The sequence below is a fragment of the Homo sapiens genome, chromosome 19 (genome assembly GCF_000001405.40).
Source record: "Homo sapiens chromosome 19, GRCh38.p14 Primary Assembly".
Lineage (NCBI taxonomy): Eukaryota > Metazoa > Chordata > Mammalia > Primates > Hominidae > Homo > Homo sapiens.
In genome coordinates this window covers 13,326,059-13,350,557 of record NC_000019.10, presented here as the reverse complement: position 1 = coordinate 13,350,557, position 24,499 = coordinate 13,326,059, and the positions used below count along the sequence as shown (strand labels likewise).

General features: G+C 46.5%; 1 protein-coding gene across 5 annotated transcripts in view, besides 1 other annotated feature; it reads left to right on the top strand.

Annotated features, from left to right (window-relative positions):
* CACNA1A (calcium voltage-gated channel subunit alpha1 A) overlaps positions 1–24,499 on the top strand; it is a 300,038-nt gene that overhangs the window by 155,922 nt on the left and 119,617 nt on the right. For 4 of the 5 annotated variants that reach the window (NM_001127221.2, NM_001174080.2, NM_000068.4 and 1 more), the window contains exons 7-10: positions 14,649–14,752; positions 16,065–16,180; positions 17,633–17,689; positions 20,222–20,314. In NM_001127221.2, coding sequence (NP_001120693.1) covers positions 14,649–14,752; positions 16,065–16,180; positions 17,633–17,689; positions 20,222–20,314 — 370 coding nt within the window. The remainder of the gene's footprint in view (positions 1–14,648; positions 14,753–16,064; positions 16,181–17,632; positions 17,690–20,221; positions 20,315–24,499) is intronic. The other variant, NM_001127222.2, reaches the window with a different exon arrangement.
* Positions 14,454–15,653: an enhancer, noted in NCBI's record as "MED14-independent group 3 enhancer chr19:13445719-13446918 (GRCh37/hg19 assembly coordinates)". NCBI's record gives its function as "activates an origin of replication core promoter dependent on BRD2, BRD4, P300/CBP and CDK7 cofactors, and independent of MED14, by STARR-seq in HCT116 cells {active_cell/tissue: HCT116}" and the evidence as "EXISTENCE:reporter gene assay evidence [ECO:0000049][PMID:35650434]".

Genomic DNA, 24,499 nt, shown 5'->3' with positions numbered 1-24,499 from the left:
TGGTAATGGGGGTCACTGATTCTGCGGTTTGCCACCTCCAATCATCATGGAAGAAAATGTTCCACTTCCAGTGAAAGTAAGAGGAAGTAAAGGGGTAATTATTTTCTATCTAAATTCACGAACTCCTTGAATTCTGTCCACAGACCCCTAAGTGTTTCCTCCCCAAGGTGAAACTGAGAGAATCTTGCCAGTGCCTTCCGCAGTCACTGTGGCTAGAAAACCCCTCAGAAGAGGTGATAGTTTAGCAGGTAACTGGAGTTCTCACCATCCGTGTCTGGCTCAGCCCCCATCACAACCAGTTACCCAGCCCAAAATGTCAGTAGTACTGAGGTTGAGAGGCTCTGCTCTAGGAGGCCAGGCCTCTCAGAGGAAGGAGGATTGGGGTACTGGCTGGGCCTCAAGATGAACCTACCCCCTAAGAGCTTTGGGATGGCGTGAGTTTCTGTCCATACCCAAGGACTACAAATGCAGGTTTACTGGAAATTCTGTGCCAAAAGTGAGGTCCAACTCACTTCTAACTGCTACAAAACAAACCTCCATCAACATAGCCCATCTCTGTTCTTGACCTGGAAGCTCCAAGGTATCCACATGGCTCCCATGCCCACTAGACGGGCCTCTTCCCTGGACCTTCCTGGGCCAGAGAAGGCTCTGGGTAGCCTTGTGGAATCAAGATGGGTGATCAGCCACTTCCTCTGTGCCACCCTGTTTTGGCTACTTCCCTAGGCATCAGCCTGGGATTCCTTGATGGTAAAAATATAAAACTCTCTGAGCTAGGGCCTTTAATATCCCCATTTTACAGATGAAGAAACTGAGTCCCAGAGCTGTGCACAGCGATTGAGAGTCAGAATTCAGCTCTGTCTCACTCAGTGTCAACATCCTCAGATTCTGCCATTTATAGCCTCCCACAGCAAATAGGATTGAGGGCTGCTTCTCTGAGCTCAAGGGGATAGAATGGGGAACCCCATGAGTACTGCAACAAAACTGTTTGCTGGAGACAAGAGCTGGTGGCTCTGTGTTGTTCTAGTGACAGGTGGCCTCATTTCACAGGGACCCCCTCACCCTATGTGCCCCATGTGGCTCAGAAAAGCCAGAAATTGTCTCCACTCTCACAGGGGAAGGTCCCTGACCCCCTCTTTGCCAGCTGGGCCAAGGCAAATTGGGGTCACTTCATGGGGTACAGGACCTACCCTCTCTTGGTTGCCCCCAAGGAGGGGATGTGGAGGGGCTGGGGACCTGGCAGGACCAGGGTGTCTTGAGTTAATTTGGGGCTGCCTTTAGCCGAGGGCTTCTGTGTGCCTGGCATCAGCTTTACATTGTGTCTTGATCCGTAAAACAGCCCTGTGAGGAAAGATATTTTTAACCCCATCTTCCAGATGAGGAAACGGAGGCCCACAGGGTGACGTGACCTGCCAAGGTCCCCTAGCCAAGAGTGACAAAGCCAGGGTTCACACACAGCTCTGGACACAATTCATCACCCTTCATCCGTCTCTCTCTGACTCTTTCTTTTTCCCTCTCTCTCTTTGTCTCTCTTTTTTTTTTTTTTTTTTTTTGAGACAGCGTCTCACTCTGTCACCCAGGCTAGAGTGCAGTGGCGCAATCTCGGCTCACTACAACCTCCATCTCCTGGGTTCAAGCGATTCTTGTGCCTCAACCTCCCAAGTAGCTGGGATTACAGGTGCGTGCCACCACACCCAGCTAATTTTGGGGGGTTTTGTTTTGTTTTGAGATGGAGTCTTGCTCTGTCGCCAGGCTGGAGTACAGTGGCGTGATCTCGGCTCACTGCAGCCTCTGACTCCCAGGTTCAAGTGATTCCCCTGCCTCAGCCTCCTGAGTAGCTGGGACTACAGGCATGCACCAACACGCCCAGCTAATTTTTTGTATTTTAGTAAAGACGGGGTTTCACCATGTTGGCCAGGATGGTCTCGATCTCCTGAGCTCATGATTCGCCCGCCTTGGCCTCCCAAAGTGCCGGGATTACAGGCGTGAGCCACTGTGCCTGCCAATTTTTTGTATTTTTAACAGAGACTGGGTTTCAACATGTTGGCCGGGCTGGTCTCGAGCTCCTGACCTCAAGTGATCTGCCTGCCTTGGCCTCCCAAAGTGCTGGTATTACAGGCATGAGCCACCATGCCCAGCCTTTGTCTCTTTTATTCTTGTGTTCTCTCTCTCTCTTCCTTCTCTTTCTCCACCTCCTTCTCCTTCTCTCCCTTCTCCTCACCCTTCTTTGTGCTTTTCTCTGTGAGTTTCTCTTCTTCTCTATTTCTCTCCTTTGGTGAATGTCAATTAGAAAAGCAGAAAAACTGCGTTTAATTTGTGATCATAAATGCATGTCCCTGGCCAGGCGTGGTGGCTCACGCCTGGAATCCCAGCCCTTTGAGAAGCTGAGGCAGGAAGATTGCTTGAGACCGGGAGTTCAAAACCAGCCTGGTCAAAAAGCAAGACCCCATCTTTAAAAAAGAAAAATAATTAATTAGCTGGGCATGGTGGTGTGTACCTGTAGTCCCAGCTACTCGGGAGGCTGAGGAAGGAGGATTGCCTGAGCCCAAGGGTTTGAAGCTGCACCGAGCTGTGATTACACCCCTGCACTCCAGCCTGGGTGACAGAACCAGACCCTGTCTCAAAAAAAACCTAATAATTAAAAATAAATAAATAAATAAATGCGTGTCCCCTGGCCAGTGGTTGCTAATGTTTGGAATCACCTTTGACCCATGCCCTTTTTCATTCATAGATGTTTGTCTTGACCAAAATCAAAGCATTAGACTTTGGACTATAAATCACTGGTTCATTCAACAACCATCATTGAATGCCTACTGTATGCAGACACTCTTCTGGACACAGAGGAGTTGACGTGTTGGTGGGGAAAGCCAGTGATCAGTTGGGATAAAAAGGGCAGACAGCAGACATTAAATAGTTTAGGCTTTGTGGGCCAGATGGTCTCCATCGCAACGACTCAATCTGCTCCTGTAGCGTGAAAGTAACGACAGATAAAGCGCGTAAGTGAATGAGCATGGCTGTGGGCCAATTAAACGTTAACCTATAAAAACAGGTGGCTGGCCCGCGGGCTGTAGTTTGTGGATCACTGCCTTAGAGATAGTGTTAGAGGGTGGTGAGAGGTCCGGGATAGAATAAAACAGTAGAGAGTTTGTGCATTGTCAAGATGAGAGGTTGCAGTTCTTCTTATACACCCCGAATGGCCGGGCACCGTGGCCATTATGATCTATAATTCTAACACTTTGGGAGGCTGAGGCAGGAGGATCCCTTGAGCCCTAGAGTTTAAGACCAGCCTAGGCACATAGTGAGACCCCATCTCTACAAAAAAAAAAATTTAAAAATTAGCTGGACATGGTGGAGCATGCCTGTAGGCCCAGCTACTTGAGAGGCTGAGATGGGAGGACTGCTTGAGCCTGGGAGGTTGGGGCTGCAGTGAGCCGATCATGCCACTGCACTCCAGCCCGGATGACAGAGCAAGAACTGTCTCAAAAAAAAAAAACAAAAAAACAAAAAAAACAGACCTGAAGGAACAAATCATATGAATGCATTAAAGTATCACATGTATCCAAAAAATATATACATCTATCAGCCTGGCACGGTGGCTCATGCCTGTAATCCTAGCACATTGGGAGGCCAAGGCAGGCAGATTGCCTGAGCTCAGGAGTGCAAGACCACCCTAGGCTACATGGTGAAACCCCGTCTCTACTAAAATACAAAAAATTAGCTGGGCATGGTGGCAGGCGCCTGTAGTCCCAGCTACTTGGGAGGCTGAGGCACAAGAATTGCTTGAACCCAGGAGACAGAGGTTACAGTTAGCCGAGATCGTGCCACTGCACTCCAGCCTGGACAACAGAGCAAGACTCTGTCTCAAAAAAAAAAAAAAAAAAAAAAAAAAAAAAATATATATATATATATATATATATATATATATATATATATATATATATATAATCAATTAAAAATTTTCCTTAATAAATAAACATTTCTCTCCTTCTCTCCCTTGGTGAATGTCAATTAATAAAGCAACAAAACTATGTTTAGTTAGTGATCATTAATGTATGTCCCTGGCTGGGTGTGATGGCTCACACTTGTAATCCCAGCACTTTGGGAGGCTGAGGCAGGAGAGGATAGTTTGAGGCCAGCAATTGCTTGAGGCTTTTTGAAAGACATGAAGGAGATGAAGGGAGCCATGGAGATATCTCAGGGAACAGCAGCCGAGGTAGATGGAACAGCCAGTGCAAAGGTCCTGAGGCAGGATGTTCCTGGCATTTGTGAGGACATGTAGCTGCCCAGATGTCCAGTGGGGAGTGAGTGAGGATGAAGGAAGGAGCTGATGAAGGAAGATGATAAAATACTTCATGGATCAGCCAGGCATGGTGGCTCCCGCCTGTAATCCCAGCACTTTGGGAGGCCAAGGCGGGTGGATCACAAGGTCAAGAGTTCCAGACCAGCCTGGCCAACATGGCGAAACCCCGTCTCTACTAAAAAATACAAAAAAGTTAGCCAGGCGTGGTCATGCACGCGTGTACTCTCAGCTACTTGGGAGACTGAGACTCGAGAATCGCTTGAACCCAGGAGATGGAGGTTGCAGTGAGTTGAGATCACCCCACTGCACTCCAGCCTAGGTGACAGAGCGAGACTCTGTCTCAAAAAAAAAAAAAAAAAAAAAAAGACTTCGTGAACAGACAGCCTATATAATTTATGATCCAAACCAGGACAGTTTTGAGAGTGAAAGGGGAAAAAGAGCACTGAAAAAATAATTAGCAGGCCTGGCATGATCTATAACGGGTATAAAGTGGGACACACAGCCTCTCTCACGGTCACTGTCAGACTTCAGCTTTTTCACACTCAAATCCACCCCCATGTTTATCCCATATACTGGAGAAACGGGTGTTCTCCTGAGCTGAGTTTTGGGGTTTTTTCCTTTTGTTTTGTTTTGTTTTTGTTTTTTTAACATCCTGTATACTTTTTCTCAATGAACCATGCTCAAAAAAATTAGAGGAAAATAAACCATAAAACAGAAGGCACTGAAGGATTTTGCTGGGACTCAGCCATTAGTTTGTTTGATGAGTATTTATGGAGCGCTTTCTAAGCACCAGGCACCACCAGCGATACTGGGATGAATCAGTAACATCCCTCACCCTTGAAGCTCTCTTGGGCCCATTGTTATTTACTTAAAATACTATGCAAGTACGGAGAAGGGGTGAAGTGGGAAAAAATCAGTTGGTTGTAAAGGCCAGAATGACGGGTCTAGTCCCACCCATGCCATCTGCACCCTGTGTGATCCAGGCACATCATGTTGCCTCTCTCAGCTTCAGTTTCTCCATCCACCAGGCACAGAGATGGCGGGAATCGAGGAAGATGTGGGGAGTATTTCATCAGCCCAAAAAGACTTGGCTAATGCGACCATAATTCTGCCTTCTGCCTCTCCTTTCCCAGAAAAATAGCTTAATCATTTGGATTTGGGATAAACACATTTCCTGTGTTTATTATTTAAATGATCCACCAAGCTGGGCATGGTGGCTCACCCCTGTAATCCCAACTCTTTGGGAGGCTGAGGAGGGCGGATTGCTTGAGCCCAGGAGTTCAAGACCAGCCTGGCCAACATGGCGAAACCCCATCTTTACTAAAAAAATACAAAAAAATTAGCTGAGCGTGGTGGTGCGTGCCTGTAATCCCAGCTACTTGGGAGGCCGAGGCACAAGAATCACTTGAACCTGGGAGGCAGAGGTTGCAGTGAGCCTAGATCGTGCCATCACACTCCAGTCTGGGCGACAGAGTGAGATTCTGTCCCTAAATAAATAAATAAATAAATAAATAAATAAATAAAATAAATGATCCACCAACAGGAACCCCAGGAACATTTGTATTGACTATGCAACTAATGCTTAGTGAGCACCTACTATGTCCCTGGTGCTGATCTGGACACTGGGATTTAGACAGGAAAAATCTCTACCCTGGAGGAGCTGATGATCAAGATGACAATCTTGAAATGCATAAGTTGACAAGATGATTCAGACAGTGGAACGTGCTGGGAAGAGAATGAGATGTCTGGCTGAGCTGCAGGAAGGGGCAAGTCCTTTTGATTGAGAGGTCCAAGAAGGCTTCTCTGATGGGGGCACAATGGATCTAAGGTTGAGTGATAAGAAGAAATTGGCCAAGCCAAGACCTAAAGGCAGAGTTGCTCCAGGCATAGGTTCAGAGAATGGAAATAATTGGCTGATTGTGATCTTGAACTTGACCTTTCTTTTCTTCTGCTAACTTTGGGTTTGGTTTGTTCTTGCTTTTCTGGCTCCTTGAGGTACGTGTTGGGTTCTTAATTTGTAATTTTTTTTTTTTTTTTTTGCTTTTTTGAGACAGAGTCTCACTGTGGTGCCCAGGCTGGAGTACAGCAGCATGATCTTGACTCACTGCAACCTCTGCCTCCTAGGCTCAAGTGAACCTCCCACTTCAGCATCCCCAGTAGCTGGGACTACTGGTGCACAGCACCACACCCAGCTAATTTTTTTATTTTTATTTTTTAGAGATGGGGTCTCACTGTGTTGCCCAGGCTGGTCTCAAACCCCTAGCTCAAGCGATCCTCCTGCCTTAGCCCCCCAAAGTGCTGGGATGAGAGGCGTGAGCCACCACATCTGGCCTCTGTTTTTTGTGATGTAGGTATTTGATGCTATAAACTTCCCTCTTAGTTGCTTCTTGGCCCTTTAGCTAAGGTCAAGTGTAAACTTCCCTCAGCACTGCTTCTGCTGCATCTCACAGGTGTTGGTGTGTTGTGTCTCTATTTTCATTCATTTCCAAAATTTTTTAAGTCTCCATCTTAATTTCTGCATTGACCCAATGGTTGTTCAGGAGCATGTTGCGTAATATCCATATATTTGCATCATTTCTGAAATTCTTCTTGGTATTGATTTCTAGTTTTATCCCACGGTAGTCTGAGAAGATGCTTGACAGAATTCCAGTATTTTAAAATTTGTTGAGAGTTGTTTTGTGGCCTAACATGTGGTCTGTCTTGGAGAATGTCCATGTGCTGATGAGAAGAATGTATGTTCTCCATCAGACATGCAAGAGACAGACACTTTCTCACCTGCCTCATGGGATCCATAAAAGAGTCAATCAGAAGTTGGCATTTAAGAAAGACCAGAAGGAGGCTGGGTGCAGTGGCTCATGCCTGTAATCCCAGCACTTTGGGAGGCTGAAGTGGGTGGATCACCTGAGGTCAGGAGTTCAAGACCAGCCTGACCAACAAGGTGAAATCTTGTCTCTATTTTAAAAAATACAAAAATTAGCTAGGTGTGGTGGCGGGCACCTGTAATCCCAGCTACTCTGGAGGCTGAGGCAGAGAATCACTTGGACCCAGGAGGTGGAGGTTGCAGTGAGCTGAGATCACACCATTGCACTCCAGCCTGGGCAACAGAGCAAGACCCCATCTCAAAAAAAAAAAGAAAGAAAAAAAAGAAAGAAAGACCAGAAAGAGGTGAAGGAGCAAGCTACAGAGATATCAAACTGTATCAATCTGGCTGGGCGTGGTGGCTCATGCCTGAAATCCCAGCACTTTGGGAGGCTGAAGCAGGAGGATCACTTGAGCCCAGGAGTTCGAGACCAGCCTGGGCAACAGAGACCCCCTCTCTACAAAATATAAAAATTTAATTAAAAAGATGTATTGGTCAGGGCAGCCAAGTTATGCTGCAGTAACAAACATCCCCAAAGCCTCCATGACTTTTGACAACAGATGTATTTCCTGCTCATGCTACATGTCCAGTGCAGGTTGGCAGTGGGGAAGAAGGGGGCTCTGTTCAGTGCAGTCACTTGAGACCTAGCTAATCACCTAGAACATTGCCACTTGCTATTCCAGAAGGAAAAAAGGAATGCTAGAAGGTCCCACACTGAAAGTTCAATGCTCTGGCTCCAAAATGACAGCTATTTCCACTCACTCCTCATTGGCCAGCACTTAGCATGTGGTCCTCAGCCAACCCCAAAGGGACTCAGGAAGGACCATCCCACCATATTGCTGGAAATATTTGATGGCAGCATTAATGGGGAACAGTGTTCCAGGCAGTGGAAGTCTTTGAGCCCTTGGAAGAAAGACAAGGCGATCTCTAGAGCACATCCTTCCCAATATTAATGAATTTAACAAATGAGCAAGCCATCCTCCCCCACTCTCCTTCCCGAATTCAGACTTGTGCATATCCCTCCCTTAACTTGAACTGCCAAAGAAGAGATGAGAACCAGGAGAAGAGATCTGTGACCCCATCTTTGCTGATGAACTACCACAGAACAGCCATGGCATCTCCAGTCCTTGTGCTTGTAAAATGTACTTTTCATTTTGCTCCTGAACGAAATCCACCCACCCCCACCCCCAAACCAGGGAAAGCTCATCTCCTAATCCAAAACTGCACCCAGCCTTCCACCACCTTCTTCCCTGGGAATTGTTGATTCCAGAGTATGGAATTGAATAATTGGATGAGTTTGGAAGAGAAAAAGTGTCTCTAAAATCAGGCAGCAGAAGCCCACTCCCCAGAGAGGATGGTGCAGATGAGAGTTCAGGAGGGAGCTTGGCTTGGGGTTGACGATCTGAGCTATGCAGGGAACTTGGACACACCTCTCAATCAGTCATTCAACAGACACCACTTATTGAGCACCGACTGTGTGCCAGATGTTGTCCTAGGGGGCTGGGAATACAGGAATACAGCAGGGAACAAAAAGGACAAAGCCCCTCCCTCTTGTCGAATGGACATTCCAGCCAGGAAGACGAGAGAACAAGAGAAATAAGTAAAGTATATAGGCGGTGAAATGCAAATGGGAAAAAAGAAACAATGGGGACCAGAAATGAGGGGTGCAATTGTAAAGGGCCATCAGGGGAGGCCTCCCTCAGAAGGTGGCATTTGAGTAAAAAACCTGAAGGAGGTGAGGGGAAACCATGTAGCAATCTCAGGAAAGAGCATTCCAGGCAGGGAGGGACAGCCTGTGCAAGGGCCGAGGTAGGACTGTGCTTGGCGTGGTTGAGAAACTGCAAGGAAGCCAGGTGGCTGGAACCGAATGAGCGAGGGAAAAGGGGAGGAGATAAAAGCAAGGAGATGGGAGGGTTGGAGGCCCCCTCTGCCATTCAGTAACTGAGTAACTTCATTTATTTCCTGTAGCTTGAACCACAAAGAACCACAAATAGAGTAGCTGAAAACAACAGAAATTTATTTATTCTCTCGCAGTTCAGGAGGCCAGGAGTCCACAGACCATCAAGGTCAGCTGGGCCACAGACCATCAAGATGTCAGCTGGGCCATGGTGCCTCCTGAGACTTGGTCTGAAATCCCTTCTTGCCTCCCTCCTAGCTTCTGGTGGTTTGCCAACAGTGCTTGGTGGTCCTTGTCTTGTAGACGTATCACCCTGATCCCGCCTTCATCTCCATTTCACATGGCCTTCTCCCTCTGTGCAAGGTTGTCTCTGTGCCCAGGTTTCTCCTTTTCTTATTATTTACTTATTTGTTTGTTTGTTTCTTTATTTTAGACACAGGGTCTTGCTCTGTCTCCCAGGCTGGAGTGCAGTGGTGCGATCATAGCTCACTACAGCCTCAAACTCCTGGCCTCAAGCAATCCTCCTACCTCAGCCTCCTGAGTAGCTGGGACTGCAGATGTGAGCCACTGTGCTCTGCCCAGATGTCCTCTTTTTATAAGGAAACCCGTCATTTAGGATGAGGTTCCACCCTAATGACCTGATCTTAACTTGATTCCATCTGCAAAGACCCTATTTCCAATTCATAGGTACCAGGGATTAGGACTTCTTCAATGCATCTTTTTGGAGAGACCCACTGCAACCCACAACAGAACTGTGGGCATGTAACTTGACCTCTCGGCCAGGCGTGATGGCTCACACCTGTAATCCCAGCACTTTGGGAGGCCGAGGTGAGTGGATCGCCTGAGGTCGGGAGTTCGAGACCAGCCTGGCCAACATGGTCAAACCCCGCCTCTACTAAAAATAGAAAAATTAGCTGGGCATGGTAGCAAGCACCTGTAATCCCAACTACTTGGGAGGGTGAGGCAGGAGAATTGCTTGAACCCAGGATGTAGAGGTTGCAGTGAGCCAAGATAGTGCCATTGCACTCCAGCCTGGGTGACAGAGTGAGACTCCATCTCAAAAAAAAAAAAAAAAAAAATAGACCTCTCTGTGCCTCAGCTTTCTCACCCGGGAGGATGGGGATAATTATATACCCACTCCTGGGGTTCATGAGAGGATTAAATGAGCTCAAACAGTCCAAGCCTCCACGTGTGTCTGTTGTGGTGCTGGGTAGCATGTCCTGTGGCCAGAGGTTCCCAAGCTTGTCGAGGACCCAGGCAAGGGCAGATTCGGGTCTTGTTGGCAGCACCTGAGATGGACGGGCTGCCTTGGTATGGAAGGGCCTCGGCTGTTTTTCCCTTTCAGTCCTGTCCCTCTCCCCCATCCTCCACCCTGTCCCTGTCATCTGAGCCTGCTCCTCGTGATGGCTCAGAGTCTCCCTACTGGCGGCCGGTGCAGAGTTTCGTTCCCTGGGCTATATTTAGCCCTGAGAAATGGGAACGAGAACCCTCAGCCGCCAAAGTGATGGAGAGAGGAGCACAAAGCCAGTGCTGCCTTCTGTCCAGCAATGTTCCGCTGACTCGGTTCTTTCTTCCAGAACCTTCCAGAAGCAAAGCATTGGCATTTCTGAGCTCGTTAAAACAAGGATGTGGGCTGGTGGCTGGCACATTCATTGTCCCCAGAACCTGTCTGTGTCCATGATTAAAGCTGACTTTGTTAGTTTTATTTTCAGTGCTTTTTTTTTTTTTTAATCCATGGCAAAACACACATGACATAAAATTTACCATCCTAATATTTTTTTTAACTTTGTAACATTTTTTAATTGACAAGTAATTGTACTTATTCATGGGGTACATAGTGACGTTTCAATGCATATAATGCGTAGTGCTCAGATCAGGGTAATTAGCATATCCATCTTCTCAGACCTTTATTGTTTCTTTCTGTTAGGAACATTCAAGCTCCTCCTTCTAGCTATTTGAAACCATTAATATATTGTTGTCATCCTAACCATTTTTAAGGATACAGTTTCGTGAAATTAAGTATAATACATTCACATTGTTGTGCAACTGTCACCACCATCCATCTCCCAAACTTTTCCATCTTCCAAATGTAACTCTGTCCCCACTAAACGCGAACTCCCTGTTCCCCCTCCCCCAGCCCTTGGCACCCACCATGCTACTTTCTGTTTTTATAAATCTGACGACTCTAGGGACCTCCTATAAATGGAATCATACAGGATTTTCCCTTTTATGACTGGTTTATTTCACATAGCATAATGCCCTCAAGGTTCACCCATGTTGCAGCACGTATCAGCATTTTCTTTCTTTTTAAGGTAAAGTTGACTATTAAAAAAAAACTTCTGCCGGGCTCAGTGGCTCACGCCTGTAATTACAGCACTTTGGGAGGCCAAGGCAGGCAGATCAGGAGGTGAGGAGTTCAAGACCAGCCTGACCAACATGGTGAAACCCCATCTCTACTAAAAATACAAAAATTAGCCAGGCATGGTGGCGGGCGCCTGTAATCCCAACTACTCAGGAGGCTGAGGCAAGAGAATTGCTTGAACCCGGGAGGCAGAGGTTGCAGTGAGCTGAGATCATGCCACTGCACTCCAGCCTCGGCAACAGAGTAAGACTCCGTCTCAAAAAAAAACAACTTTTTAAGAATTGAAGTAGAATAAACATACAGAAAAATCCGCGGATTATAAGTGAAGAGCTTGATTAATTGTCACAAACTAAACACATCCATGTAACCAGCACACAAATGAGGAAACAGAAACTTCTCAGCCCCAGAAGCCCCCCTCATATCCTGTTCCTAGTCACTACCTCCCCGCAAGGGTACCCCTACCAGGACTTTGAGCATCATTCACCAGTTTAGCCTGTTTTGTATTTTGCATAAATGAAGTCTGGCTTCTTTTGCTTGACGTTAACTTTTTAAGATCTCATGTGACCTGTGGCATTGTTCATTGCATGTATCCTCTCTCTCCTATTGATAACAGTGTGGATTGTTTGCAATTTGGAGCTATGATGAATACCATTGCTATGAATGTTCTTGTGTGTGCTTTCTGTTGTGTAATTATTCAGAATTACTATTTCGGAATTACTATCTAATTGTAGTGATCTTGGATCAGTAACTATCCAAGAATTACTGGGTGTTGGCAAAGGTACATACAGTTATACACTGCACAATGGCATTTTGGTCAACAACAGATCAAATATGTAACAGTGGTCCCATAATGGACCGAATACATAACAGTGATTATCATACAGTATTTTTACTATAGCTTTTCTGTTTTTAGATTCTTTTTTTTTTGAGACGAAGTCTCGCTCTGTTGCCCAGGCTGGAGTGCAGTGGTGTGATCTCCGCTCACTGCAAGCTCCGCCTTCTGGGTTCACGCCATTCTCCTGCCTCAGCCTCCCAGGTAGCTACAGGCGCCCGTCACCAGGCCCGGCTAATTTTTTTTGTATTTTTAGTAGAGACGGGGTTTCACCATGTTAGCCAGGATGGCCTCGATCTCCTGACCTCATGATCTGCCCGCCTCGGCCTCCCAAAGTGCTGGGATTGCAGGCGTGAGCCACCGCACCCGGCCTGTTTTTAGATATTTTTAGATACACTATAGAGTTACAATTGCCTACAGTATTCCATAGAATAACATGCTGTATGGGTTTGTAGCCTAGGAGCAATAGGCGAGACCATGCAGCCTAGGTGTGTAGTAGGCTATACCATCTAGGTTTGTGTAAGTACACTCCATGATGTTTGCACAACAAAATGACCTAGTGACACATTTTTCAGAATGTATGCCCATTGTTAAGCATGACTTAATTTTAGCATAGAAACTCTCAACCAATTTTTCAAGTAGTTGTACCATGTGTTATGGGTTTTATTGTCTCACCCCAAAATTCATATGTTGAAGTCCTAACCCCCAGTACCTCAGAATGTGACCTTATTTGGAAATAGATTCATTGCACATGTAAAGGTTTTGCCATTGGCAAAACTGCCGTTATTTTTGCACCAACCATAGCAGTTAAGATGAGATCATTAGGGTGGGTCCTAATCTAATACGATGGTGTCCATATAAAAAGGGGAGATTTTGGCACAGAGACAGGCACACTCACAGGAAGAATGCCATGTTTAAACAAAGGCAGAGCTCAGGATGATGCCTCTACAAGCCAAGAATCAGCAAAGATTGCCAGCAAACCGCCAGAAGCTAGGAGAGAGGCATAAAACAGATTCTGTCTCACAGCTCTCAGAAGGAACCAGCCCTTCTGACACCTTGAGCTTGGATTTTTGGCCTCTATAACTGTAAGACAATAAATCTTTGTTGTTTAAGCCACCTAGGTTGTGGTTCCTTGTTACAGCAGCCACAGGAGATGAATACAGCATGGTGCCCTCCCATTGGCAGATTATGAGGGTTCCAGTTGCTCCACAGCTTCACAGACACCTGGTAGTAATGACCTCATCTTAACTTCTTTCTCATTTTAGCCTTTCTTCCAGGCAGCAGCAGTGTCATACATGCTTTTAAAGGTGGGCTTTTAAAGCCACACTTGAGAGCCCTGCATTCTGCAGGTGTCACAGGGTGATCAACTATTCAAAGGCTACCCCTGCCCTGACAGCTGGAGGCAAGGCTTCCCAGCACAGAGGTTAAGCCCATGGACTCTGGGGCCAGGTGGTTAGTGCAAATCCCATGTCCACTAGTGAATAACTCTGTGATCTTGGGCTGATGATTTTGTCTTTCTAAGCCTCAGTTTCCTCAATAGTAACATGGGCATTATAACATAGAGGCATCATGAGGATTAAATGACTAAGTGAGCTAACATACATAATGTGCTTAGGAAGGTGCCAGCACACCATAAATACTCTGTAAGTGCTGGCTTTTATCATTCTTTTCTCTCTCTCTCTCTCTCTCTCTCTCTCTCTCTCTCTCTCTCTCTCCCTCTCTCTCTCTGTCTCTCTTTCTCTCTCCACCCCCCAACCTCCTCTCCTTGATTTTCTTCCCCTCATCTTACTTCCTTCTTGCTATAGTGTTCTATTTTCTGTTTCAGAGAGTATTCTATTTGTGGACTTTTTTCCTCTTGAAAATTGAGCTGAAACTTCTGAGAATTTTTTGTGATTGGCATTAAGGCTGCAGGGAATGGAGCAGGGAGACACTTGAGGAAAGGGCTCATGGACCATCTGTCTGGCTTGGTGATTTCACCAGGCCATCAGACTCTGTGGTCATGCATCTCCTCTAAGGGGAGTCTATGACTGTGTTGGGAGAAGAGAAGGAACCAGGGATTAATTAATCCATTTCAATAGGTTTTGTGTTTTGTTTGGTTTACTTTTTCCTTCTCCTTCTGGACTGTGGTCTGGGAAGTCCTCTTGTGTTTCTTACTCCATTCCCAGGTCAATTATGTTATGTGAGGAGAACATAATTAAGAGAGAGCTTTACCCTTTGGATGTTTTCTTCAGAAAACGTTCCTCCATTTCCCCCTCTGGGATGCCAGAGCCCCAGAACTCCACAAGCCAAGAACATTTAAGACAGAGCCACAAGAGAACCGAGCTTCCCCTTCCCTCACCTGTCAGGTTCTATCTGAGTCCCAGTCAACTCTCACCTGCTTTCCCTCCTCACACCCTACAGAGCAACGATGCCTCAGGGAACACTTGGAACTGGTTGTACTTCATCCCCCTCATCATCATCGGCTCCTTTTTTATGCTGAACCTTGTGCTGGGTGTGCTGTCAGGGTAAGTTTCTGCTACTCCCCACCCCATCCCACTCACTCCTCTTTGCTAACTTCTTTCCAAGTAGAGGCCATTGAAGCTTTGTTTTCATTCACTAGACAGAGAAAAGGCTTCTTCCCTTGTTTGGGTTACCAGACTGTTATTAGCAAGCCATGCACAGGTGCAGAGGTTGTGTACTGCTAGGGGTACCCAGTGAGAGGGTTCATATGGGCTTTACTTTCTTTACATTTTTTTTAAAAACCAATAGTTTGGGTTTACTTCTCCCCCATTTTCCAAATATAAAATCATAGCATATGCTCTAACGGTGTATTTTCCTGACCCATATTGTCCTCTATCCCCAAGATTTTTTTGGCTTAATCATAAATGGGCTTCATTTTTCTTACCATAAGAAGTCTGGGCACTTGTATGGTGGCTCTATGGCACCATCAGCAACCCCAGATTCTTCCAGCTTTCCATTCTGACATCTTTACCAGAGGCTTCCAATCTCGTGGATACCTCATGGTCTTAAGATGGCTGCCTCACGCCCTCCGGATGGCCACTTCATGTTCCAAACAGGAAAAGGAAGAAGGGAAACAGGAAGAGGTGGGACCTATGGCAGAGAAGCCAACCTGCTGCAGAAATCTTTCATTCATGGCTTATTGGTCTAACTTAAAAGAGGGCTGAAATAATTATTAGCCAAAAGTATGAAGAGAATGAGAATGAGGTATGCAGCCAGTGGTGGTTGGCATGGCATGGTTTTATCCTTTCGGTTTTTTTCTTTTTTATTGTTTTTTTTTGAGACGGTGTCTAGCTTTATTACCCAGACTGGAGTGTAGGGGGCGATCATAGCTCACTGTAACCTAGAACTCCTAGGCACAAGCGATCCTCCTGCCTCAGCCTCCTGAGTAGCTAAGGCAACAAGTGTATGCCACCATGCCCAGCTACATTTTTTATTTTTCATAGAGATGGGGCCCACTGTGTTGTCCAGGCTGGTCTCAAATTCCTGGCCTTAAATGATACTCCCATCTCAGCCTCACAAAGTGCTGGGATTACAGACATGAGCCACTGTGCCTGGCCTTTTTCTTTACCTAGGCACAGTTGTCGGGAAATGTGTGAAGCTGGCAGAAGCACCCATCACTATAATATCCCAGTCTTTTCCCAGAAGTCCTGACTCCTCCTGTTGAAAACTCCTGACCTCCAGGGACTTCTGAATCCCCAAACACACACACACACACAAACACACACACACACACACACACACACACACAAACACACACACAAACGTTTCCTAACATTTTCAAAACAGCCATACTCTGGCTTTTCTATGCTTCTCCAGGGAGTTTGCCAAAGAAAGGGAACGGGTGGAGAACCGGCGGGCTTTTCTGAAGCTGAGGCGGCAACAACAGATTGAACGTGAGCTCAATGGGTACATGGAGTGGATCTCAAAAGCAGGTGAGGCCCTTTCATCCTGGGGCCCAGGGATGGAGATCCCAGGCCACGGAGTACAAAGAGAGTCATGCAGTTTGGAGAAGGCTAAGCTGGGAGGGTTATGATGGGAGGAGAAAGAGAACCTGAATTGGTAGTCCCAAATTTTATCAACAAGAATCCAGAGTCTGATATGAAGAAGTCTAAGATGAAGCCAGGATCTGACATCACGTAACTTGAATTCTGAAATCAGACGCTGGTTTACATCCCGGCCCTGCCACTTTTTACCCATGCACCACACATCCCTGTACCTCCGTTTCCTCAGCTGTTACATGGAGGCGATGGTAGTGCCTAAGTCATAGTACTATTGGAGTATTTAGTAAAATAATCTCAGCTGAGTCACTTGGGGAGAGAAGTGCCTGATACACGGTAGGCACATATTTATTTGTTCAGCCATTTAACAAACATTTAGGGAGCACCTGCTGTGTGCCAGGCACTGATCTAAGCACTGAGGATATGGGAGTAAACAATACACACCAAATCCCTGCCCTCAGAGCTCTGATATTCTAATGAGAGAGATAAAGCAAACAAATACATGTCATGTTGGGAACTCCCAAATTCAGAGAAGGAAGATAAAACAGACTAGGAAGATAAAACAGAGTAGGAAGTTGGCCGGGCGCGGTGGCTCACGCCTGTAATCCCAGCACTTTGGGAGGCTAAGGCGGGCAGATTTCCTGAGGTCAGGCATTCGAGACCAGCCTGGCCAACATGGTGAAACCCTGTCTCTACTAAAAATACAAAAATTAGCCAGGCATGGTGGCGCACGCCTGTAATCCCAGCTACTCGGGAGGCTGAGGCAGGAGAATTGCTTGAACCCAGGAGGCAGAGGTTACAGTGAGCTGAGGTCGCACCACTGCACTCCAGCCTGGGCAACAGAGTGAGACTCTGTGTCAGAGAAAAAAAAAAGAGTAGGAAGTTAGAGGCAGGGTGGTCAGGGAAGGCTTCTCTAAGGAAGTACCCTCTGAGCAGAGAGACCTGAAGGACGTGAAGAAGGAAGCTGTGGGGATGTCAAGGGAAGGGGCATTCCAGGCAGAGACAGCAAGTGCAAAGGCCCTGAGCTAGGAACGTATTTGAGACACAGCAAGGAAGCCAGTGCAGCTGAAACAGAGTGAGAGGTGGGGACAGCTGGAGGAGAGGAAGACAGGAAGGTGATGGAGATCAGATCAAGCAGGGGCTTATAGGCTGTGGTGTGGACATTGGTTTTTATTTTGCGCGAGGTGGGGAGAATGTTGGCTATTGCTACTGTTGCGGAGGTGGGGCTTGAAGTCACAAACCACCCAGCAGCATGTTTTTTGGTCGGTTGAGCTGTCACCATCAGTCAGCAGAGAATGGGGGTGGCCGGGCAGACCCTTCTTCCTGGTCCAAGGGAGAACTCATCCTCCAAATGCAGGAGCTTAACTCTGTGCTCTTCCTCTTCAGAAGAGGTGATCCTCGCCGAGGATGAAACTGACGGGGAGCAGAGGCATCCCTTTGATGGTAACTGCTCTAAACCCACCTCAGGGGTGGGTCCCAGGGGAGAAGGGAGAAGCTGTGGTGGGGAGTCGGGGGAGAGCAGGTGACTGGTTCTAAGGATCTTGCAGAGGGTAGACGTTCCTCTTGGAGGAATTTTAGGACTTCCATGCAGAGTTTCCCTATTCTGGCCTCCACTTTTTTGTTTTAACCATGGACCTGGTTTTTTCTGCTTTGTGCCTTGGTTTTTCTCATCTGCAAAATGGGTATGATATAAACAATACCCTAGCTCACGAGATTGTTTCTCAGAATGATATTCGTTATGGCAAATAGAACACCTGGGATAGTGCCTGGCATGGGGTCAGCACGTTTCTGTTTGCTAAATAAGTAATAATTCCACCAATAATCCAGTTTACTGTGAACGGCTGCTGTCTCCCATGTTAGAAACTTAACGAGACAGAACCATGACTTTCTTTCTTTTCTTTTTTTTTTAATTGAGACAGAGTCTCGCTCTGTCACCCAGGCTGGAGTGCAGTCACACGATCTCACCTCACTGCAACCTCTGGCTCCCAGGTTCAAGCAATTCTCTGCCTCAGCCTCATGAGAAGCTGAGATTACAAGCATGAGCCACCATGCCTGGCTAATTTTTATATTGTTGATAGAGATGGGGTTTCGCCATGTTGGCCGGGCTGGTCTTGAACTCCTTGCCTCAAATGATCTGCACACCTTGGCCTCCCAAAATGCTGGGAGTGTAGATGTCAATTCATGGTCCCCTGGAAACCTGAATATGAAAGGAGGGACCATTAAAAAGGTGTCCAAAAGCCCAACCTCCCCAGCATAGCTGGGAGTCAGGGGACAGACTGTAAGAGTCACTGTGTATCCAACCTGAGGCTTCATGAAAGTAAAGTTTCCTAGAATTTAGAGATAGGGTTGGATGCGGTCTGTCTGTGGCTCACATCTGTAATCCCAACACTTTGGGAGGCCAAGACAGGAGGAACACTTGAGCCTGGGAGTTCAAGACCAGCCTGGGCAACATAATGAGGTTCCGTCTCTACAAAAAATAAACTTAGCCAGATGTGGGGGCACACGCACCTATGGTCCCAGCTACTCAGGAGGCTGAGGTGGGAGGATCACTTGAGCCCAAGAGGTCGAGGTTGCAGTGGGCACCACTCCACTCCAGCCTGGGTGACAGAGTGAGACCCTGTTTCAAAAGAAAAAAAAAGAATTTAGAGATAGGCCAGAATAATATGTCTGCAATATAATAATAACAGCAATAAGAAAAATAATAGTACTCCCTGAAAAATGCAACTTCTTGCTTGAGATTTATCTTCTCATACTTTAGAAAACTGGTTAGACAGGGGCTGGGCGTGGTGGCTCATGCCTGTAATCCCAGCACTTTGGGAGGCCAAGGCGGGTGGATCACTTGAGGCCAGGAGTTCAAGACCGGCCTGGCCATCATGGCGAAACCCCATCTCTACTAAAAATACAAAAATTAGCTAGGTGTCATGGCACACGCCTGTAATCCCAGCTACTCAGGAGGCTAAACTACGAGAATTGCTTGAACCTGGGAGACGGAAGTTGCGGTGAGCCGAGATCACACCACTGCACTCCAGCCTAGGCGACAGAGCAAGACTCTGTCTCAAAAAAAAGAAAGAAAGCTGGTTAGACAGGGTGATGACTTTTGATTAAAAATCTGAGAGATTTGAGGGAAATAAAAGAACTGGCACTGCGTCCCAGAAGGTTATAAAATGAATTTTATTATCTTAGTTGGGGAGGGGAGATTACCTAACTCCCCTAAATGAGTTAGGTAATCTAACTCATTTAGGGTACCTAAATCTTTTTATTGGAAGTCTACACCTGAACTTGTCTGCTGTGGAGCCCCTGGGGTGTATAGCTTGAATATGGGGGCAGAATCCCAAAATTGCAGCCTGCCTAGCGAGTATGCTACAGGTCAAGGGGTGGACTGTTTTCATAAGAAAGTGAGGTTTCTTAGAATTTAAAAATAGAGGCTGAGTGGGGCGGCTCACGCCTGTAATCCTAGCACTTTTGGAGGCCAAGGCAGGCAAATCACTTGAGGTCAAGAGTTTGACCAGCCTGGCCAACATGGCAAAACCCCATCTCTACTAATAATACAAAAATTAGCCAGGCGTGGTGGTGCATGCCTGTAGTCTCAGCTACTCAGGAGGCTGAGGGAGGAGAATCGCTTGAACTCAGGAGGCAGAGGTTGCAGTAAGCCAAGATCACACCACTCTCTGGGTGACAGAGCAAGATTCTGTCTCAAAATAAATAAACAAATAAATAAATAAACCAGAAGGAAAATAGTGGCTGAGGGCCCAGACCTGGAGTCGGACTGAACCCGACTTGATTCTTGTCTTTACCCCTTTAAGCAAAGTGATAGTGCCACCTTGAACCTCAGTTTACACATCTGAAAAATGGGTATACTATTAGTTCCCGTGAGAACAGTTGCCGTGAGAGTTAAATCCAAGGACACACTGTGTCCATATGGTCTGTGTTGCAAAAAGGGTAACGTCTTTTTCTCTTGCCATGTTTCCATTGTTGGAGCTCTGCGGAGAACCACCATAAAGAAAAGCAAGACAGATTTGCTCAACCCCGAAGAGGCTGAGGATCAGCTGGCTGATATAGCCTCTGTGGGTGAGTCCCTTCCTCTGCCACCTATCAGTTGTTCATCACCTATCGCCCAAGAGACATGGTGGGGTGGGGGCAGAGGGCTTGCAAACCGTGCTGCCTGGATTTGGGTCTCAGCTCCACCCTTTCCCACCTGTGCGTGTGTCCTGGGCAGATTACATCATTATGGGAATAACATCCGTGCCTAGCTTCTCATTATTTTGTGGGAATTCAACTAAATGATCCCCATGAAGCATGGCAAACCAGCACCTGGCAGGGACGAAGCTCCCAGTCAAGTTGGTGAATGTTTGTGACTCATTCGGGAAGTATTCATGGGGGACCTGCTTATATTAGGTGCTTGGTTGCAAACAAGACAAGGCAGTCACGAGGCTGAGCTGGGAGGATCACTTGAGCCTGGGAAGTGGAGGCTGCAATAAGCCATTATTGTGTTACTGCACTCCAGCCTGGGCACAGAAAAAAAAAAAAAGACACAAACTGAGCCAGGCACAGTGGCTCACGCCTGTAATCCCAACACTTTGGGAAGCTGAGATGAGCGGATCACCTGATGTCGGGAGTTCGAGACCAGCCTGGCCAACATGGTGAAACCCTGGCTCTACTAAAAATACGAAAAAAATTAGCCTGTAGTTCCAGCTACTCTGGAGGCTGAGGCGGGAGCATCACTTGAACCTGGGAAGCAGAGGTTGCAGTGAGCTGAGATCTCATCACTGCCCTCCAGCCTGGGCAACAGAGCAAGATCCTGTCTCAAAAAAAAAAAAAAAAAAAAGACACAAACCAAATCCCTACCTACATGGAGCTCACAGTCCAGTGCAGGAAATAGAAATTAAACAGAGAATTACACAAATAAACCTGTAATGGTAATGGCACTTCAGGGAGAGGCTCTGGGCTTAGCTTGCTCTAGAAGGATGGGGAGCAGTCAGGGAAGGCTACCTGGAGGAAGTGACGGTTAAGCTGGGAACTGAAGGATGGGTAGGAGATCACTGTGGTGGTGATAGCAGAAGGAACAGTGTGAGAGGCAGGGCTCAGACCTTTGCCACCACAAGGGCCAGAGTTCGAGGGAGGAGGGAACATTTATTCTTTCCCTTCTCACTCCTCTGTCCTATTGATTCATTGGCTGTGATGATGTTGATTTTGACCTTCTAAAGTGAGAATGTATTGTTATTGTTGTTGTTGTTCTTTAATGGGTTTTTGTTTTTAATGGAAGGAAGAGCATCCAGGCAGAGGAAATAAGACTGGAATAAGATTGAGGGGAGAAGGAATTTAGGCTGCTTGGGAAACTGTGTGGCCGCAGTTTAGAGGAAGAAAGGATGGCAAGAGAAAGAGGAAGGGAGGAAGAGAAGGAGGGAGAGAAGTGAAGGAAGGAGGGAAGTTAGTACATCCATGTGTTTCTGATCCATAGTTTCTGATCCACTATTTCGTATTCCCCTTTTATCGCTCGCCCCTAGTTTATAACCTTATTGCTGAGTTTAGGCATAATTTCCATTGCGATCACATATCTCGTAGGGTGGATACACTATGGTTTGTTTAGCCATAGCTCTATTATAGGGTGTTTGAGTTGTTTCCAATAATTTCTCTTACGAAGAACACTGCTGTGCACATTTACGTACAATGACTCCCCCCACCCTTTGGGCGTATTTCCTTGGGGATAATTATAGGATCAAAGATATTAACAGCTTTTCAACTCATTATTCAAAGAGCCATTCTGAGTTTCAAAAACATGGAACCCATTTATAAACCTGCCAAGTATGCATATGTTCATGGATTCCCCACCCAGGCCATCGAATATTACCAATTTAATTTCCTTTCCCAGTTAAGTGGGTTTGTAATGAAACCTTAAAGCTTGTTTTCATTTGCATTTTTAATTTCCAGCCAAAACACGCTTTTCTTTGTAATGGAGAACTCATTCTGCTTCCACTCGTGTGTGCATCTGTTTAATTTCCTGTAAGCAAATGTCAAGAATTGGAGCGCTCAGTAGGTGTCTTGAGTATTTGATCAATTATGTCTGTCTCACGTGTTACGTTACCTCCATTGTTTAAAATCTGTTTTATGACGAGGTACAGTGGTTCACGCCTGTAATCCCACTGCTTTGGGAGGCCAGTGCAGGAGGATCTCCTAAGATCAGCCGTTCAAGACCAGCCTGGGCAACATAACAAGGCTCCATCTCTGAAAAACAAAATGTTGAAAAACTTAGCCAGGCATTATGGCACACACCTATAGTCCCATCTATTTAGGAAGCTAAGGCAGGAGGATTTCTTGAACCCAGGAATTCAAGGTTGCAGTGAGCTATGATTGTGCCACTGCACTGCAACGTGGGCAACAGAGTGAGAACCTGTCTCTTAAAAAAATAAAATAACATACATTCTTAAAAATCTACTTTGCTGGCCGGGCGCGGTGGCTCACGCCTGTAATCCCAGCACTTTGGGAGGCTGAGGCGGGTAGATCGCTTAAGGTCAGGAGTAGGAGACCAGCCTGGCCAACATGGTGAAACCGTGTCTGTACTAAAAATTCAACAATTAGCTGGGTGTGGTGGCGTGAGCCTGTAATCCCAGCTACTCAGGAGGCTGAGGCACAAAATCACTTGAACCCGGGAGGCGGAGGCTGCAGTGAGCTGAGATGGCGCCATTGCCCTCCAGCCTGGGCATCAAGAGTGAAACTCCATCAAAAAAATAAAAAATCTGCATATACATATATATGTATATATATTTTTAATTTTTTTAATTTTTTTTTTTTTTTCTGAGATGGAGTCTTGCTCTAGCACCCAGGCTGGAGAGCAATGGTGCCATCTCGGCTCACTGCAGCCTCCGCCTCTGTTAACAAGGCAGGTGACATTGCAGCTTTCTAAACAGACCCAAAACCCAGGCCAGTGGCTTGTTCTTTCATAGCCACGTTTGCTACAGGCAAATCCACCAAAACCCACCTCATCAGCCTGATTACTCAAAAAGACAAAGAAAGGAGCCCCCAATCTAGCCAGTGGTTTTCTAGACCACCCCAAAAGAGATCTCTGGAATTCCAGGATTCTGGCAAGGAATCACATTTAGCTTTATTTATTTATGTAAAGAATGCAACAATACAGGCTGGGTGTGGTGGCTCACGCCTGTAATCCCAACATTTTGGGAAGCTGAGGTGGGAGGATCGTTTGAGGTCAGGAGTTTCAGACCAGCCTAGGCAACATAGTGAGACCCTGTCTCTATCAAATATTAGCTGGGCATTGTGGCACACGCCAGTAGTCCCAGCTACTCGTGAGGCTGAGGTGGATCACCTGAGCCCAGGAGGTCAAGGCTGCGGTGAGCCACAGCATGCCCCTGCACTCCAGCCTGCGTGACAGAGACTTCATCTCAAAAAAAAAAACAAAAAAAAGTAATAATACAGTAATGCATATTTCAAAGTAAGGTGGGAGCTATGTGGTATTTGCGTTCACGTTCACATTATACCACAGTATGCACAGTCCTTTTTTTTTTTTTTTTGAGACAGTGTCTTGCTCTGATGTTCAGGCTGGAGTGCAGTGGTGCAGGCATAGCTCACTGCAGCCTCAAACCCCTGGACTCAAGTGATCCTCCCACCTCAGCCTCCCAAGTAGCTGGGACTATAGGTGTACACTGCTACACTCAGCTAAGTTTTTTATATTTTTTACTAGAGATGGGATCTCAATATGTTGCCTAGGCTGGTCTCAAACTCCTGGCCTCAAACAATCCTCCTACCTCCACCTCCCAAAGCAGTGGGATTACAGGCGTGAGCCACCACACCTGGCCCACATGCAGTCTTATATAATTGGTGATTCTACTGCGCTGTTGAATCAGTTGATAAACGCACTATAAAGCAGGTTCATTCCTAATTGATGAACTTACTGCTGAAATAAGGAACTTGAATCATTTACATGAAAAGTTGAGCCATGTTGCTGAAAGGATATCAATTTTTTTTTCTTTTTTTTCTTTTTTTTTGAGATGGAGTCTTACTCTGTCGCCCAGGTGGGAGTGCAGTGGTGCGATCTCGGCTCACTGCAACCTCCACCTTCCAGGTTCAAGCGATTCTCCCACCTCAGCCTCCAAGTAGCTGGGACTACAGGTGCACACCACCACGCCCTGCCAATTTTTGTACTGTTAGTAGAGATGGGGTTTCACCATGTTGGCCAGGCTGGTCTCAAACTCCTGACCTCAAGTGATCTGCCCACCTCAGCCTCCGAAAGTGCTGGGATTA